Below are 17,707 nucleotides of genomic sequence, written 5' to 3'. Positions count from 1 at the left end.
AACAAACTCTGGAAGAAATATTTGCCAGATGGATATGACAAAACATTTATGTTTGTATGGACATAAAGATGGCAACAATAGCCATTGGAGACTACCAGGCGGGGAAAGTGAAAGGGGGCCGTGGATTGAAAAACTACTTATTGGGTATTATGTTCACTGCATGGGTGATGGGATCATTTGCACACCAAATCTCAGTGACATGTAATTTACTCATGTAGGAAACCTGCATATGTACCCCCTGAATCTAAAATAAAGGCTGGAAAAAATGATTGATGTCTGTAATACATAAAGAGTTCTTACAAATCAATGAAAAAGCAAACATCATAACAGAAGAATGTACATTGTATAGCAGGAAATTCACAAAAGGAAAGCTTGCTACTAATATTGACAGCTCTATCCTTGCCACCACTTTTCAATTACTAAATTATCAAATAAAGAAAGAATTGGTGGAAATTGTGAAAATAGTGCAGGCACATAGGACTTTCAGTCATTATTGATGACATTGTTCATCATACCTCCTTTTTAAAAGAACATTTAGAAATATGTATAAAAAGCTTCTAAAAATTCATAGCAATTCATATTCCAGGAATGTGTCCTAAGGGAATAGTCAGAAATATGTGCAAAAATGATTATAAGTAGTGTTTAAAATAGCTTTATAATCACAATTGAAATAGCTCAATATTTAACAATAGACATTGATGAACCGAAATTTAGTAAGACTTTATTATAATGTTTTATGTGTTATTGAAGAGTCTTTTAAATTTAATGATATGGGAAAATAGTCACAATATATTGCTAAATTAATAAAGTGGGATATTAAGGGCTACCTTTAGTAAGAATCGAGTAAAAAATACTTGGAAATCTATTAAGATGTTAACTAGTAGTCTTCTCTGAGTAGTGAAACTATGATAATTATTTTCTTCTTTGTATCCTTTAGTTTTTTCAAGCTTTGGATAATCTATCTAAATACTGTCTCCATATTTAGGGAAAATACAATACATATTATTTAAAATATATTTGTTTTTATACTAAAAAGCTGACATTGTAAAATAAGAATATTTTGATATTTAAAAAAATACCTTAAAGTATCATTATATCATTTGAGTGAAAAAAAAAAAGCTGACTTTCTAAGAAATTTTCTGTGTGTGACAATTCCATTTGGCAACTAATGCTGTGAGAACTGACAATCACCTTTGCCTCCAGTGGTCACCTTTATTGATAGGTAAAAGACAGGAGCCTTAGGGGATGAAGGGCTAAATACAGAGAGGCAACAAAGTGATATGTCACATTGCTGAAATGGGAGTCTCAGCATGCACAGTCCTCTTTTACTATGGGTGGAAAACAGTTGAGGTTAGACACCAGCCAAGTTCTTGCTTTTAAGTTTCAGTTTCAGAAGAACATCTGAGAAAAAACGACCAAGTGAAGCCTTTTCTGGTTTCACACCTAGTAAGTCCTTGATACTTAGGCCAGCATCCCATTCTTGCTGAATCTGAAATAGGCAACACCTAACTATACAGGCTCTCATCTACTTCCGAAGGCTAATCCTCCAGGGGCAAGCCAGCAGACGTGGGCAAGTGGTGATAACATCCCTGAGACAGAGGGACTACAAGCTTCACTATCATTTCTGAGTGAGTTTTAATTTTCAGATGATGTTAGTATTGTTTGGCTTCTTATAGTAGTCTTTTGGTTCAGTACCTGCTAATTGCTTATTGTTTATTATTAATATTATAGACTATATTTTTATACCCTGTGGACTACTTGGAAAAAGCTTTGATGTCTTAGCACTGATGGAATGAAGCTTCATGTAATTGCCAAATAAATTTATATGCAAAACCTAAAACATTGCTTATTTGAACTGTCTAGATATACAGTATTCACATTATTATAGTAAAATGATATTTAACTCATGTATTATGTTTGTCAAGTTTCTAAAATGAAAACTTGATAGTAAATCCAACTATTACATCATTGTCTTGAGTCGATATAATCTCTAAACTCTTATTGTAAAAAACTTTTGTTATATTGGATGAATGAAGAAAACTGAGTTCAAATATTTTTAAAAGAGAATATATTTGAACTATATTATTCCCCTTTTTCATTTCTGTTTGTCGTCCTAATATTGTTAAGTCACAATTTTCCCTCCAAAACCGATTTAAGGCAGGTATTTCACTATTCGTTTCCAAATACAGAGGGGTCAGTAAGTAATTACCCCTTAGCAGTTCACTTTAAACTAAGCAAGAAACTGCATTCCAGTTCTGTTTTCTCAAAGTAAATCCGTTATATCCGTTGTAACAGAATATCGGGGGAGGAGGAAGGAAGGAAGGAAGGAAGGAAGTAAAGAAAGAAGGAAGGAAAAGGAAGGGAAGGGAAGGGAAAAAGAAGGGAAAGGAAAGGAAGGAAGGAAGGAAAAAAGGACAGAAAGGGGGGAAAAAGGAAAGAAAGGAAGAAAGGGAAGGAAAGAAGTTAGTTTCAGAAATACTATGTTCTTACCCCAGAAGACAGATCTAAGTCTAGTTTTATTTGAAATAACTTTTGTTAACAAGGAGGTGATATAATGGTAATGTCAGGTATTTATGGAATTCACGATATGGGTAATCAGATGATAAGCAAGGGATGTAGAAAGGGAATTGTCAGAAACTAAAGACAAATTTAATTGGCTTTACACTTTGGCCTAGAATCATACCACACTGGGTGATGACACTTAGAAATGCCCATCACCATCATCATCATCATCATCATCATCATCATCATTGCTGTTATTATTAAGTGCCTAGATACTTGCTAATAAGTGGAAGATGAAGATGCTCTCTCTATATTATTTCATTTAATCCTCTCAAGAACCATTGGATAGATAACTCTTTTTGACAGACAGATAAACCAAGGCGTTGGCTTAGGCCAAAGCATTTACTCAATGTGATATGGTTAGTATGTAATATGAGACTTGAATTTAGGTCTCTGTGATCCTGAAGTCTATGCTAGTAACCAACTACAGATAACAGGAATTCAGGAATTTCTACAATAGCTTTTACTGTCAAATTTATAGGAATCGTGTAATAGCTTTTTTGCTTCTGTCCCCATGGAGTGAATATTGGGGTCAAATCACTAAAATCTACTAATGGATGAAATGCTCATAGTTTAGTCAGCTCTAGTAGTTTTAGCAATTTAGAAAAGCAGTGATGATTGGTGTCATAAAAGCCATAGCACACGTTCCTAGAAGGGAAAATGCAACTAAACTGTTTTTTTCAATTATTTCATTGCATGTGCATTTGGCAAATCTGTCACTGCTCCTGGCTGCTCTCTCTCTCTTTTTTTAATGCAAGTATTTCTCTGCATGGATTTCTTTACTTCATGATCTTCTGTTGTGTATTGTGTTTTCTTTTTGAAATCATAGCTTGGGAGTTGTTTATGCTTCAGAGATTTTTAAACCAAGGCTACCTTTTAATGTAAATGCACTTAAATTGACCCCACTTATTTAAATGATGTGAAATAGCTCAGCAATGTTCCCATGACCTGTTTTTATACCTTTTGATATTTTATGTGACCTCCAATAAGCTGGACAGATAATAACAGAACCCTTGGCATTGGGCTACCACTGCCACTGTGATGCTGAGTCTGGTGTCAGCAGTGAAGATGAGGGTGGGAAGCCACCGAGGAAGCTGGAGGTTGACACAAGTGGCAGTAAGGGCACATCATTACCTAGGAAGAACCTTCAGAAATCCTCTGCAAAAGACGGCCTGTTTCCACCCTTCCTATTCTTGTTTCTTCCTTCTGCCACTTTTTTTTTTTCTTTCAACTAAGGAATAGAATGGCCAGAAGTAGTTGACAGGCCCTAAGGAGAGCTTCACAGCTAACATCAGGTATAAATTTATTATTATTTTTTGAATATATTGATGTCTAGGATTAAATAAAAGAACATTAGATTATACAATACTGGTAGGAATTTTCAGATCAGTCTTCTTTCAATAGCCTGCCTCCCAGATAGTTGAACAGCTAGGTGAATTTGCCTTAACTGACCCAACTGGAGAGATGGAGAACCATGGTACATTTCACAGTGATTCATTTGACCTTTTTTTTCTTTTTTTTTTTTTTAACTAGGAAAGGATTCATTGCCATTAGCCTATGTCCTGGCTCTTGGTGGTAAGTATTCCATCTGCAAGAGGTCCAATTAGAGTGATCCAACAGACCATGACTCATAAATCTGGTCAAACTTCCCATGTTCTTGAAATCACTAGGCTTTCTAGTATTTATTGAATGACTTTTAAGAAGTGTGCTTATTTGAATATATTTATGTGTATGGTGGCAGGAAAAGGTATTCATTTATTCATCATATGGTCACATTATCCCACCTTCAATTTTAGTAATTGTCATCAAGCACTGTGAGGCATTTGAGATTTTACCCTTCTTTCAAGCAACAACTTAGCCAGCCACAGTTTTATGGATCATGGCAGAAGACATAAGACACCTGAGTCAGAGAAAAAGGACTTTATTGTTCATAGCAAATAGCAGTAGCCAGAGTACCTGTATTTATGCTGGTTCCCTGAGCTCCATTTCTCACTTGGCAACATGAAGAGGGCCAGGTAACACTTGATTGTGCAGCGGGCTGACTTACAGGAGAGGCACCATGATCTTAGAGAACCCATATCTTTTATAATGGGCATTCAACTAGAGGAACTCAGGTGCACCTTCCCAAATATTTATTCTGCAATGCAGAGATACTGGTTGTTATTGATCAAATTGTATTCAAGCAAGAAAATCTAATTATTTGTAAGCAATGAAAGGTGTGCACAAGGAAGATTATTAGGGCTTTCTTTATGCCAGGCACTATGCTAAGCATTTTACATAAATTATCTCATTTACTGTCAAAGGATTCTGTGAGTACAGCATTGCTATTCCCATTTCATGAATAAGAAAATGAAAGATTAGAGAGGTGTTATTTCCCAGTTTATACAATTAGTAAATGGCAGAGCTGGCGTTTTTTACCCAGGTTAGTCTGACTTCCAAGTACACACTCATTCCACTTCATCAAATTGCCATTGTTTGTGAATATTGTTTGCTCTCTTATATTAAATATTTTTTCAAAAGCCCATGGGGTTACCATAAAAAAAAGTCATGTTTTTATACTAATATTTCTTAGAAAAGCTTCAATTACTCTTTCTCCCTTGCTTGAGGAACGTCATGTCTGACACCCTTATAGTGTTGTGTTCATATAACATCTCAGCTGGATGCCATTAGCACTTTCTCTCCTAGAATTTAGGCATAATATATTACTACATGGTGGCTAGGCAATTTTATTTCCCTGTTTCCCTGAATGTTCTTTAATTAATCCATAAATTTAGAAACCAGATTAGAAAAACAGAAGACTTTCTTTAAATGTTTTTATAACTGACTTTTTAGTATACTTTCATGCAGGAATTTGAATAGCAACAGATACACTATTAAAGAGACTTGACACACGTTATTGTTTCCTATTGTTTCAATTTAATTTTGTTTCAAATACGGTAATAATCTGTAATGAAATAAAATGGACCATATTCTCTCAGGTGAATTGGCTATATGTTCTGTGAACAAATATTTGATTCTACATTTTGCTTTGGAAGCTTTTAGGTAAAAGTTAGGAAATAACTGCTGTGATAAGCAGAGGATGACCTGTAAAGTCAACCTCAGCCCTATTGATAGACCTGAAATTTTTATTTTACTCCTTTGAAAGGAGACATCACAAATTACCTTCCAAACACATTTTAAGGGAAATGTAATATCAGCTATTATTGCTTTACCTCAAAATGCTTTATCATAATAGCTGGCAAGAGACTGAGGAAATGCAACAAACGATAACCGTGTTTTGTGTTAGAAGCGGTAATGAAATGGTAAGACAGTCTTGGATGGGGTATAAAGTAGAGAAGAAGTGAGTAAGATCAGGACTTCAGGCTTCTGGTAGGTTGTTGGTGATGATGTTGGGGGTAAGATGGCTAGCCAAGAAGGCAAGCAAGTAAAAAACAAATGAGGAGCATCATACTTGCCTACTTTATAAGTTTTTTTTTTTTTAAGTTAGAGTTTGACATCTTGGTATGATAACTTATTTTATAAAATCTAGTCCAGTGATTTTTTAATTAATAAAAAAGATTAAATTGATATAAATTATTAAGATGAACCTTTTCAAAGCTTCTAGCTCCCTAACCTCTATTCTGCAGTTGGGAAATTGAAATGCTTTAGGTGTTTGGCATGACATGCCTTTCTTTACTTATTTTACTTGCAACATATATATAACTTTATTTAATAGTAAAAAAATCCACTTTGTTCCATTAAAAACATATCAAACCTATATTTATTGAACTATGAACTATGATAGCTTGTGCACCCAGGTTTACCAGGAAATTATGGGTGAACACTTGTACTCTAAGAAGATTATTTATGCTGAAAACTGTCCCGGTCTGCAAAGTCCTATCTTGCTTTGTGATCCTGTCTTGCCAAAGGCAAGTTAGCTTCTGAACACAGGTGAGAGGTAATGCAAATTGGTGTCTTTGTAGCTTTGTAGCTCAAGGTAAGACTTACCTATGTAGCTCAAGGTAAGACTTTTTACTAAAGACTCAATTTGTGATGACTAAATCTAGATATAGTAGCTTATCATCTGGGAGTGAGAATCATCAGTTCACACTGTATAATGATTGTGTTGCTAAAGGCCCATGTGAGTACCAGAAACACATGCAGAAGACAGACATATTATGCTGCTACAGAAAATAATGAGTTCAGGGCCAGGTGCAGTGGCCCACACCTGTAATCCCAACACTTTGGGAGTTTGAGATCCAAGAGTTGAAACCAGCCAGGGCAACATGGAAAGACCCTGTCTCTACTAACAAAACAAAACAAAACAAAAAAATTAGCCTGGCATAGTGGCATGCATCTATGGTCCCAGCTACCCAAGAGGCTGAGGCAGGAAGATTGCTTGAGACCAGGAAATCAAGGCTGAAGTGGGCCACGTTCACACTGCTGCCCTCCAGCCTGGGTGACACAGCGAGACCCTGCCTGAAAAAAAAAAAAAAAGAGAGAAAAAGAGACAAATAAAATAATAATTTATATGAAGATTAAATGCTATTTTTCTTATTGCATAATTTTTTCCACTTATTATTATTTCTAAGAAAGGAAGCTTGTATGTATGTGAAAGAGAGAGAGAGAGAAAGAGGAAGCCAAGAGAAAGAGTGAGGTGGAGATTTTGCTGATTCCAAGACATGGGGACATGAGATTTTTTTTGCTTATTGCTGCTTATTTTAAACATCTCTGATGATCAGCTTTTCTTTAATATCAATGTGTTCCTTAAATTTGAAGACATTTCTTTTCATAATGAAAAACCATTATTAAGTCATGGTGCATGTTATAGTCAGCATCCTAGAAACAATGGAGAAAGTGTTTTATATATAATACAATGGCCTCTTGATATCACATATAAATATCTCACACTGTAAATAAGTGTGATATAAGATTATAGTGTCCCCTCCCTTGTTCGCTTGGATTAAAGTAATCTTGATTTCTAACCTTATTTTTATAGCACCAACAATGAATTTCATGGTGGATGAAACAGCAGCAATCAACTCAAACAAGGAATCCCAGCAATTGGTGCAAAAAACGTATACACTGGAGAAGAAAGAAGCAATGGAGGAAGATGAAGCGCCCCAGCACAGAGATGCTGACATAGTACAGGGAAAAGGGGAGGCAGCACTGTGGGGAGAAGCAGGAGCTGTTCATGAGGCTCCCTTGAGGGCGTGGAAGCCAACAGCAGAGCAGCCAGAATTGGCAGAAGAGTTTACAGAAAAAAGGGAGATCCCTCCAGGCATAGAAAGGGGGGCAGAGGGAGCAGCAGAAGCAGAAGGGGTCAGAAGGCTGGGTGAAGGGGGGTCAGACCCCATAGGACAAGCAGCAGCAAAAGATGCTGTGGGTCTGAGTAAAGATGAGGCTCCTGAAAAGCAAGCCTTGATGCTCACAGTGCTTGAGACAGACAAAGCAGCTTCTGAAGGGGAACAGGGTTTAGAGAAGGCAGTGCTTGCAAATGAAGCAGCAGCCCTGAACTTGGAGCATCTTCATGAAGTAGCAGCCCTGAGAGAGGCAGCGACATCGGAGGAGGGAGAGGCTGAGGGTGGGGTGGCTGTGAGTGATGTCGGAGAAAGTGAAGAGGAAGCATCCATAGACCTAGAGGACACAGGACCCATGGAGGACACAGCATCAAAGAGAGAGGACGGTTCTGAAGAGGCAATTCTTGGGGGAGAGGAACCAGCCAAAGAGAGAAAAGAGGTTATGAGAACAGAAACACGCTTGAGCCCCTTCACAGGAGAGGCAGAGGCAAGCCGGATGCAGGTTTCGGAGGGCAGCCCTGAGGAAGGAAGCCTTGCAAAGGAAGCCTTCCTTTGCAAGGAAGATGTGGAAGGGGAAGAGATGGTGACTGAGGCAGAAGCTAATAGGGAAGATGATAGGAAAGAAATTTTACCCAAGGAATTAGATTTAGCAAGAGAGCGAAGGAAAGCTGAGAGGCCAAAAACATCTCTGAGGAAAACTGACTCTGAGAGAGAAGAGGTGACAAGGGCAAATGCACTCAAGGATGAAGATGCTTTTAAAGAAGAGCAAAAACTTAAAGCGGAAGAAGGGGAAACAGAGACAGAAGTAAGAGCTGAGGAAGAGACAAAAGCTCCCCCAAATGAAATGGGATCTGATGCTGAGAACGAAGCACCTGTGGAGGCTTCTGAGTTGTCTGACAATCCAGGGCTTCTAGGAGAAGATTCACTAAAAGAGACAGTGGTTCCCATATTTGAAGCAACGCCTGGATTTGAAAAGTCGCTGGAAAACATAACAGCTCTGAGGAAAGAAGGAGGAGGGGAAAGACTGAGTGAAGCCAGAGACACAGAGCACAAAGACAGAGAAGAGCTGTCCAGCAGGGAGAATAGGGCCCTGAAGGAAGGGCACCGCCAAGATGGAGAGGGGGCCTTAGCAGCTCCTGAAGCTGAGCCAGCAGGAAAGGTGCAGGCCCCTGAGGGGCTGATCCCAGCCACAGGCCAGGCAGAGGAGCTAGCAGCCAAAGATCACGACTCCTGCGCAGGACTGGAGGGGAGAGCTGAAGGGCAAGGAGGAGTGGATGTCGTGCTAAGGACCCAGGAAGCTGTTGCTGAGGAAGATCCCATAATGGCAGAAAAGTTCAGGGAGGAAGCGGTGGATGAGGACCCAGAGGAGGAAGAGGACAAAGAGTGCACTCTGGAGACAGAAGCGATGCAGGACAGGAACTCGGAAGGGGACGGGGACATGGAAGGAGAAGGAAACACACAAAAGAATGAGGGCATGGGAGGAGGAAGGGTTGTGGCTGTGGAAGTTCTACACGGAGGTGGTGAAACGGCAGAAACAGCCGCAGAGGAGAGGGAGGTGTTGGCAGGTTCGGAGACAGCCGAGGAGAAAACAATAGCAAATAAAGCCTCCTCCTTTTCAGATGTTGCTGAGGAAGAAACCTGGCACCAACAGGATGAGTTAGTAGGAAAAACAGCAGCTGCAGGGAAGGTGGTGGTAGAGGAATTAGCACGGAGTGGGGAGGAAGTGCCAGCAGCAGAGGAGATGACAGTGACATATACAACAGAGGCTGGGGTGGGCACTCCAGGAGCCCTGGAGCGGAAGACCTCAGGGCTAGGACAGGAGCAAGAGGAAGGGTCAGAGGGCCAGGAGGCAGCCACTGGGAGTGGCGATGGGAGGCAGGAGACAGGAGCAGCTGAAAAATTCCGATTAGGATTATCACGGGAGGGAGAGAGGGAATTGAGTCCGGAGAGTCTACAGGCGATGGCAACACTTCCAGTGAAGCCTGATTTCACTGAAACCCGAGAGAAGCAACAGCATATGGTGCAAGGAGAAAGCGAGACTGCAGATGTTTCCCCCAACAACGTGCAGGTCTAGGAGACTTGCTGGCAGACAGTGAGTTTAAGCGTAATGTCTTTGTAGGACTAAATAGCAGCCCTGCGGTGGGTCTCCTCCCCTTGGGGCTGGCTTGTCCCTTTATTGGTGTCTGTGCACATATAAACACACAGGCTTCAATTCTGTGTCACTTAGCCCTAAGCCTGTCAGGAAAGGGGCTGGGAAAGACGGAGGAGGGGCCAAAGCATGCACAGGGACACACTGCTCTTCCCGGTGTGGCAAGTCATATTCAGTCTTTGCAAGGCAGCTCCCTGAAGTAGTGAGATCTGTGTCTCCCAGATAGGACCCCCAAAGAGAAAATACAGAGGAGAATGTGCCACAGAGGACAGGCCACAGAAGTAAAGAATTAAACTATATTTCACAATTCATTTCCACCTTAGTGTTTTAAAGGATGAGATGAAGGTTGTTTGTTATCATTTGCCTTTAAGTGGGCCCTATGCTTTCATTTCTGCAGTTTCGCAAAGTTTTTACATATATAAAATGTTTTACATTCTATACGTAAAATATTTAAGTATATAAATCTTGAAGAGTCGAACTAAAAACTAAAATTATTTTTTGCATATTCTGCTATTTCCTTTAGGCCCTCACATTCTTAGTCCTGTTTCTACTGTTGTGAGTGATTTTATCCTGGTACTACTATCCTTTTTATTGTTTTTCAGGATAATTTAAAGATGTCTTCTGAAGATGTAAAGAGTGGAGAAAGATTCACGCAAGCATCTCACCAGGATTCTTGATTTTCTCTCTCTCCTCTTTAGTTGCTGGTTGCGCTTGTCTGAGATGATTCCCAATCTGTCAGCCCTGGTCAGTAGCTCAGTAAGCACCTTGAGAATAGCTCAAGTAGATCTGTAGGACCCTTCTTAGAAGCAGTGGTTCCTCATGGAGAAACTTGTGAGGCTGTTACACATTCTACACACCTAACATTATTTTCAAACAAAAATGATAATTTTCAGATGCTTGACTTTTACCAAAGATCACTGGAAGGCCCAGTCCTAATGTTAGGGGTTTGTTTAAAGTCCTTTTTATTTTACAATACAGAGCCCCAGTCAATTCCACAATCTCAATTTCATACATGGGAATTTTATTTAAAAATCTGTGGTTTGGGGCTTTAATGAATTGGCCTGTGAAAATGAGCTCTAAATTTCCTCCCACGTACACTCAAAACTCAAGATTGCTCCAAATCTCTAAGTTCTTCCAGCAAAAGATTTCTTGGCATGTATATTCACTTATACTTAGAAATATTCATTCTTTTAATTTATGCCAGAATAACAAAGTGGAAATCTTATTTCAAAATGCTCTTTGTTTTTTTGTGTGTGTTTCTGTAGTTCTGCTTTCTGGGGTAGACTAGTAAAATGGTAGCTTCCAGCATTTTGTCCCTGGGGCCTTCTTTATAGGGCCACTCAAATTTAAATAAAAGTAGTAAATAATTTAGCTAAGTGGAATAAGTATAATAATTATAGTGGTAAGCATAGCACATCAGCATTATGCCAACATTCTAGACTCTTTAGTTGATGTCATTAAATGGAAAAGAAACTTGGATTAAATGAGTGTGCTGCTCACCTTCCCAAGTTCTGTTATTTCAAACCTGTGAACTAACCTTGCAGTTCATTATAAATCAACAGTAACAACTGCATTCTAAATTACTCCCTGATATTATTTTCTAGTTGTGTATCAGCCTGTCTCCTAGGGGTTTTCATTTCCCTGAAGACATACAAGTGCCCCAGAGCGCATGTATATGTCTACCATTTCTCTATATGAGAAGGTAAAAAAAATTTCCTTAAGCAGTGATTTTCCAGCCAGAATATACATTAGATTTTCATGGGACGCTTTTATAAATGACTCAACCCTTTTCCCCACCCCAGAGATTCAGACTTAATTCGTTTTAGATGGATCTACACATCAGTATATATATATTTTTAACTTTTCACTTGATTCTTCTCTGTAGCCAAGGTTGAGAACCGCTGTTCTAAATCATCATATAATCCATGCTGGCCACATTACACTCAAGGTCCCTAGGGACCAGGCATATTATCATAGTAGGTATTTTCCATTTTAATGTGTAATGGAGCCATTCAATGATCAAAAATACACTGGACCAGATAGTAGACTGGTCCCTTGATCAGAAGCATCAGCACATCAGCATCACCTGGAAATTGTTCCCAGCCTTTGTCTCCTACCTACTAAATTAGAAACTCTTGGTGGGTTCCAGTAATCCATAGCTTAACAAGCCCTGCAGTTAATACTGATGTACACTGATGTCCAAAAACTGCTGTCATGGACTATTGATTGTATTGAGGATTAGTCTCAGTTGGAAAGCCAACTACAGAGGCATTTTGAACTTTCTTTCTTTGCCTCTCTATGTCTCTCTGTCTTTTCCTGTCTTCTGATTTATCTGTCTTTCTTTCTCTAGTAAATGGCACTCAATATAAAAGTGGTGGAGTCAATCTTAAACTTATTTTTATTATGATTGTATTGATACATGCACGAAGTCCCTCTGCCCTACTCCCTATTCAAGGATATTACTCACTGCACATCATAAATCTCCATCATCTGTCTTAAAGTTTTATGAGTAGATTTCATCTACATTATATTCAAGTTCATTTATTACTGAGCTGTATTACTGTGGAGCTCTAACAGTATTTGTTTCCTGATTTCAAACTCAATGCTACAGAGCACTTTGAATACATCACACCTTATAGGAAAGATAGTAAATGTATTAATCCCATTGAAAAATTAGTTTTGTACAATGTGCTAAATAGTATTGCATTGGATTACTTTTATATTTAACACACTCCATCAAAACATCCCATAACATAATTTTACAATCTGCATGTGAATTTAACTGTGAAATTCAGTATTGTGATATTTTGAATAAGTGAATTCTTTCTCTGCAAATACTATGTTGATAAAATTACTTGTATGTTCCCCTGAAATGGTTTGTTTCCTGTTTCTTCATTATTAAAACATAAATCAATCATATGTTTACAGATACATGTGAATGGTTCTTTGTAAATAAGACTCAACTTTTAAAATCTCTGTGTTCTTCCCTTACAATATTTGAACTCCACAGAGCAGAGAAGTTTCACTGGGCTGTATTTTTGAGTACAGTATATGATGTATTTATACTGACCGTCTACACTCATATGTGTCTTTCACACACATAAGATAATTTCAGGGAGAAAAATTATTATCACCTATCACCATTTTATAGGTAACTGAACAAAAGCTCAATAAAGTTAAGTGGCTTGTCTAAAAATCAGTCAATCTCAGGTCATGTGACACAAAATTTAGAATTTTTCTTATCATATCCACTACTTCTAAGAAGAGGTATCTTAAATAGATACTAAGATATTATATGTGAACATCTACTTGTTTTTGTTTACTTGTAGAAGGGAAAAAAATTAAACTTCCTCAGTATGTCCTCTATCAGTGAGAAGGGAGTTATATTTCCAGCTAATGTCAATCAAAGAACAAAGGAGATTATTAAAATAGTTCAAAAGAAAAATAGGCAATCAAAGGAAATGTAGGTAGAATTAGGTTTTCTGCTTGTACTTCTTGAGTTAAGCCTTTTCTAAGAGTGTTGTAAATTTAAAGTACAGTTGAGTTCCTTAATCCTTCTAAGATTAATAATTTTGCCAAAATTCTTGCCTTTGGAAAAATTATTGTTTGAGAAAAGAAAAGAAAGCCTTAAGGAAGATTCATCTATTAAGTGAAATATTCCAACAGTCTCAAGGACAGCCCGGAAGAGGCCGCTCCTGACCTTGGGTAATATTTCCTCTCTGTTTTCTGTACCATTTGATTATGTCATTTAAAAAATAATTCCCTGACACCATGGGCAGCAGCAAGAGGTACAAGAGAACAGGGAATAAATACAGCTGGAATTCTTTAAAAGTTGCTCTTAAACTCACCCCTTTTTTTTTTTTCCTTTGCTTTTTTGTTCTTTATTCTAATAGCATGCCCTGTGACAGGGAAACTAAGCTCTTCAAAATAACTGAAACTAAATCTGTAAGATAAAATGCTGGAATTTGAGAAGGCACATGCCTTTTGTAGTTTTCTCCAGAAGGCTCAAGGTGTTCAATAATCTGTGGGACTCAACAATATTTTGGAAGGTTGAAATACCCTCATTTTTAATTAGGGAAAATGCAGTACACAGAAGATTCTTGGGACAGAGAAGCCGGTGTCTAAATCTTGCCGCTTTCTCATATGTTTCCTGGTCTTTATTAAATATCTACTTATAATTAAATATTATATTAGGGACCCATAAATTATGTGAGAAATCTCACAGTTGTTCAGGAGATTGGTACTAATGAGACACAGAGACTTTCAAACTGGTGTAAATGTACCTCCCAAGGAAGATGAAGCTTTTCATGGGATTCACTGGGAAGGCTAGTTTGCAGATGCTTAACCTCCGTATGCACTTTATCTTAAAATGGACTTGAGAACTAGCCTGCAGTCAATGTTTTTTGTCAGTCCCCCACTTTTCACAATAGAGGCCAACTCTTCATTCACTTACCAAGTTTACTGTGATACAATGACCCCTAGAAATACACAAATCAAAGGAACAAGGTGAAATATGGCATAGGGGAGGACTTTCCTTCCTGGAAATGACTGGGTAACAAATCTCTCTGCAAATCAGGTGGTTTTCAATTCTTTGTTTACAACAAAATTAAATGAAGACGTGATTGAATTGCCAACTGATAAGTCATTGAAATATTTTTGGTATATTATCAGCCTGTAAATTTTGGCAAATCGGAAGGAGTTCAAATAGGAGCATTGTTGTACAATATAACAAAATGACTTCCATTCCCATCCACTTATTTATGTGACATGCATAATTACTATATTTTTATATCTATGAAAATAAAACAGAAAGTGGAATAGAACTGATGTTGAACACTGTTATTCCAGCGGTAAATAATATTCGTTCGCAGACATACAAACAAATTAAAAATAGAAATCACTATCTTAGATGCATTTTTGCTTTTACTTTTTATGTGTAATATTTGCCAAAATTTATAGTATAAATGTTGTTTTGATTAAATGTGTATTACTAATAATTGCAATGATAGCCCAGTCCAGGAGAGATTTAACACATAGAGTCCTATGGTCACAAGAAATTTTTTAAATTAAAATTTAATTTACATAATAATTTAATGGCAGATAATTATGACAGATCGAGAAGTAAAAGACTTTTAAGTATAAAAATATACCGAAGTAGCATAAAAATCTGTGGGCAAAGTGGAACGGAAATGTAAGTTTAAGAAAATAAAAAACGTGAGATTTTTCTAACACCAAAGTAGAGCTTAGCAACATACTTTTGAAAATGGATGTCTTAGGTCAGGTTCACCCAGAAACACTCTGGATTAGAGGTTTGTGTGCAGAAGGTTTATTGGGGCATGCCCTGGGAACAACACTGTAGAGAACTGAAAAAGCAGAAATGGGCCAAGAAACAAGATTGATAGAGTTGTAGTTGCCACAGAGGTGCACCTCATCAAAGGGGAGCTCTCGAGGTGGGATTGCCAAATGCAGTTGAAGGACCAGGCCTCTAAGTGCCCACAACAGGACAGTCGCTTGATGTTGGCTTCCTACTCAGGAGCAAGCATAATCTTGGACTGGGTGGTCCCTTCAGTCAAAAGCAATTCCTGTGGAGAAACTTAGGTAGCATACCCCACCCCAGGCTGCTGGAGGCCGATCATATCCACTGTGAAGAGACTATCAGGGTGGCACCCCACTGCGTCCACGACATGGATAAAGGTGATATGGAATTGCTATAGCATTTTCATTTCTTTGGATACATGTAGAAAAAAGATACAACAACTTCATATTAAAGCGTCTTGTTTTATAAAATAATAGAAGTTACATCTGTAACTACTTAAATATATAAAAATGTTTACATGTCAATATAAAAATATATGAGGGCATATCGTTTTTCAAAACCCTTTCAGAGGTATGTGAACAGAAATATTGGGAGTCCACTAGTGTAAAGGACAAGATGAATAGCTGAGGGCCATGTTTCTTGTGGCCTGGCAGTCATTCTGAATCAGTAGCCAAAATTTTGATTAATGTACAAAATTTGTTTTGTCTACATACTGCTAAAGTGATGTCTGCCAGTAAAATAAATGAGTGGGTCATCCAGCTTGGTGTTGCTATAAGGAAGAAGAGTCCTAGCATAATGTCTAGCTGTTTCTAGGAAAGGAAGTATGCCCCTCTAGTGTGTCTGAGTACACCATCAGGGCATGATATGGTTTGGTTCTATGTCCCCACCCAAATCTCCTCTCTAATTGTAATCCCCACATGTTGAAGGTGGGGCCCGGTGGGAGGTTATTGGATCATGGGAGTGGTTTCTAATAGTTTAGCACCATTCCCCTAATGCTGTCTCGTAATGAGTTCTCATGAAATCTGATAGTTTAAAAGTGTGTGGCAGCTTCTCCCTTGCTCTCTCTCTCTCTCCTGCCACCATGTAATATGTGCCTTGCTTCCTCTTCACCTTCTGCCATGATTGTACGTTTCCTGAGGCTTCCCCAGTCAAGCGGAACTGTGAGTCAATTAAACCTCTTTTCCTTATAAATTACCCAGTCTCAGGTAGTTCTTTATAGCAGTGTGTAAACTTACTAATACAGGGCAGTTAACGGTTGTATTCAAACAAAATCTCACTGCTAATGAGTAGGGATTAGCTAATTTTTCCTGTAAAGAACCAGGTTGTAAATATTAAATGTTTTAGGCTTTGTGGGATATAAAGTTGCAAATATTCAACCCTGCCATTTTAGGATGAAAGTTGCCATAGACAATACTTACAAGAATTGGAATTGGTATGGGTGTGTTCCAATAAAACTTTATTTACAAAGAAAGGCAAAGTGTCAGATTTGGCCTGAGGACTGTGCTCTGCAGACCTCTTCTAAAGTGCTTTCAACTTAATAAATAGTTCTGTAACTATGAAGAATAATCCTCACTCTGCCACAGAAATTTTAATTTTCAAAAATGTGCCTTAAACACAAAGATTTGGAAATAACTGGAGTAAGGAACAAATGACCTTTAATCTTTCAGTGGAATGGATGATTTATTAGAATTTGCTTCTCCTTTTAAGACTATTATTTTAAAAGCTTCATTTTAGTCAGGTTTTCAATCCTTCCTTTCCATTCCCATCTTCTCTGTCACATCTGTTAGAATGCAAATGTGAGATGTCGTGATGAAGGGAAAAATAACTTTAGAATTCTGACAATTACATTTCATGTTAACACAGGCTGATTTGTTCTTCAATAGAACAGTATTAGCCCCACGAGAGAAGAGATGTGATCTGTTCTGGTCCACATGCAGTCCCCTGTGCCAAGAGCAGTGTCTGGCACACAGTACATGCTCAATAAATATATGGAAATGAATGAATACCTGAATTGACATACAGACTGGGGGAGCATTGTTATATGCTGTTCTAAACATTTTTAAGCCCAGATTTGAATGATGCTGATAGCATGCATGGAGTATCCGACTTTGTTGACTGAAGAGAAAAACTAATAATTTTCATAATACGTTAGAGTTGGTAGGGACATTAGATATCACACATTCTACCTGTTCCCCTTTATGTATCAGACTGAGAAAGCAGAGAACAAGGGGGTCTGAGGAGTGGGTTACACATTGATTAGGGACAAAAACAGAACTGGAACTTCTATCTTTAGTCTAGAGCTTGTTTCGCTTCAAAATGCTGTTTCTCATTAGTCAGATTTTCTTTTCAGAGACACAGAATCCTAATTTCTAATCAAACATACTCTCTAAAACTCAGTGT

General features: G+C 38.1%; 1 protein-coding gene and 1 long non-coding RNA gene across 12 annotated transcripts in view; one reads left to right on the top strand and one right to left on the bottom strand.

Annotated features, from left to right (window-relative positions):
• Positions 1 to 3,602, bottom strand: part of ERICH3-AS1 (ERICH3 antisense RNA 1) — a 48,669-nt gene extending 45,067 nt beyond the window's left edge. Inside the window, exon 1 of the long non-coding RNA NR_121671.1 lies at positions 3,523 to 3,602. This is a non-coding gene — a long non-coding RNA (ERICH3 antisense RNA 1). The remainder of the gene's footprint in view (positions 1 to 3,522) is intronic.
• The window catches only part of ERICH3 (glutamate rich 3), a 106,221-nt gene extending 93,312 nt beyond the window's left edge, over positions 1 to 12,909 (top strand). The window contains exons 1-4 of one of the 11 annotated variants that reach the window (XM_017000278.2): positions 1,477 to 1,628; positions 3,799 to 3,857; positions 4,096 to 4,137; positions 7,541 to 9,933. In XM_017000278.2, coding sequence (XP_016855767.1) covers positions 7,549 to 9,915 — 2,367 coding nt within the window. In that variant the 5' untranslated portion in view covers positions 1,477 to 1,628; positions 3,799 to 3,857; positions 4,096 to 4,137; positions 7,541 to 7,548 and the 3' untranslated portion in view covers positions 9,916 to 9,933. The other 10 variants (XM_017000279.3, NM_001002912.5, XM_017000276.2 and 7 more) reach the window with 10 other exon arrangements.
• The last annotated feature ends 4,798 nt before the right edge of the window (positions 12,910 to 17,707 follow it).

The sequence above is a fragment of the Homo sapiens genome, chromosome 1, assembly GCF_000001405.40.
Source record: "Homo sapiens chromosome 1, GRCh38.p14 Primary Assembly".
NCBI lineage: Eukaryota > Metazoa > Chordata > Mammalia > Primates > Hominidae > Homo > Homo sapiens.
This window is presented reverse-complemented; position numbering and strand designations above follow the sequence as displayed.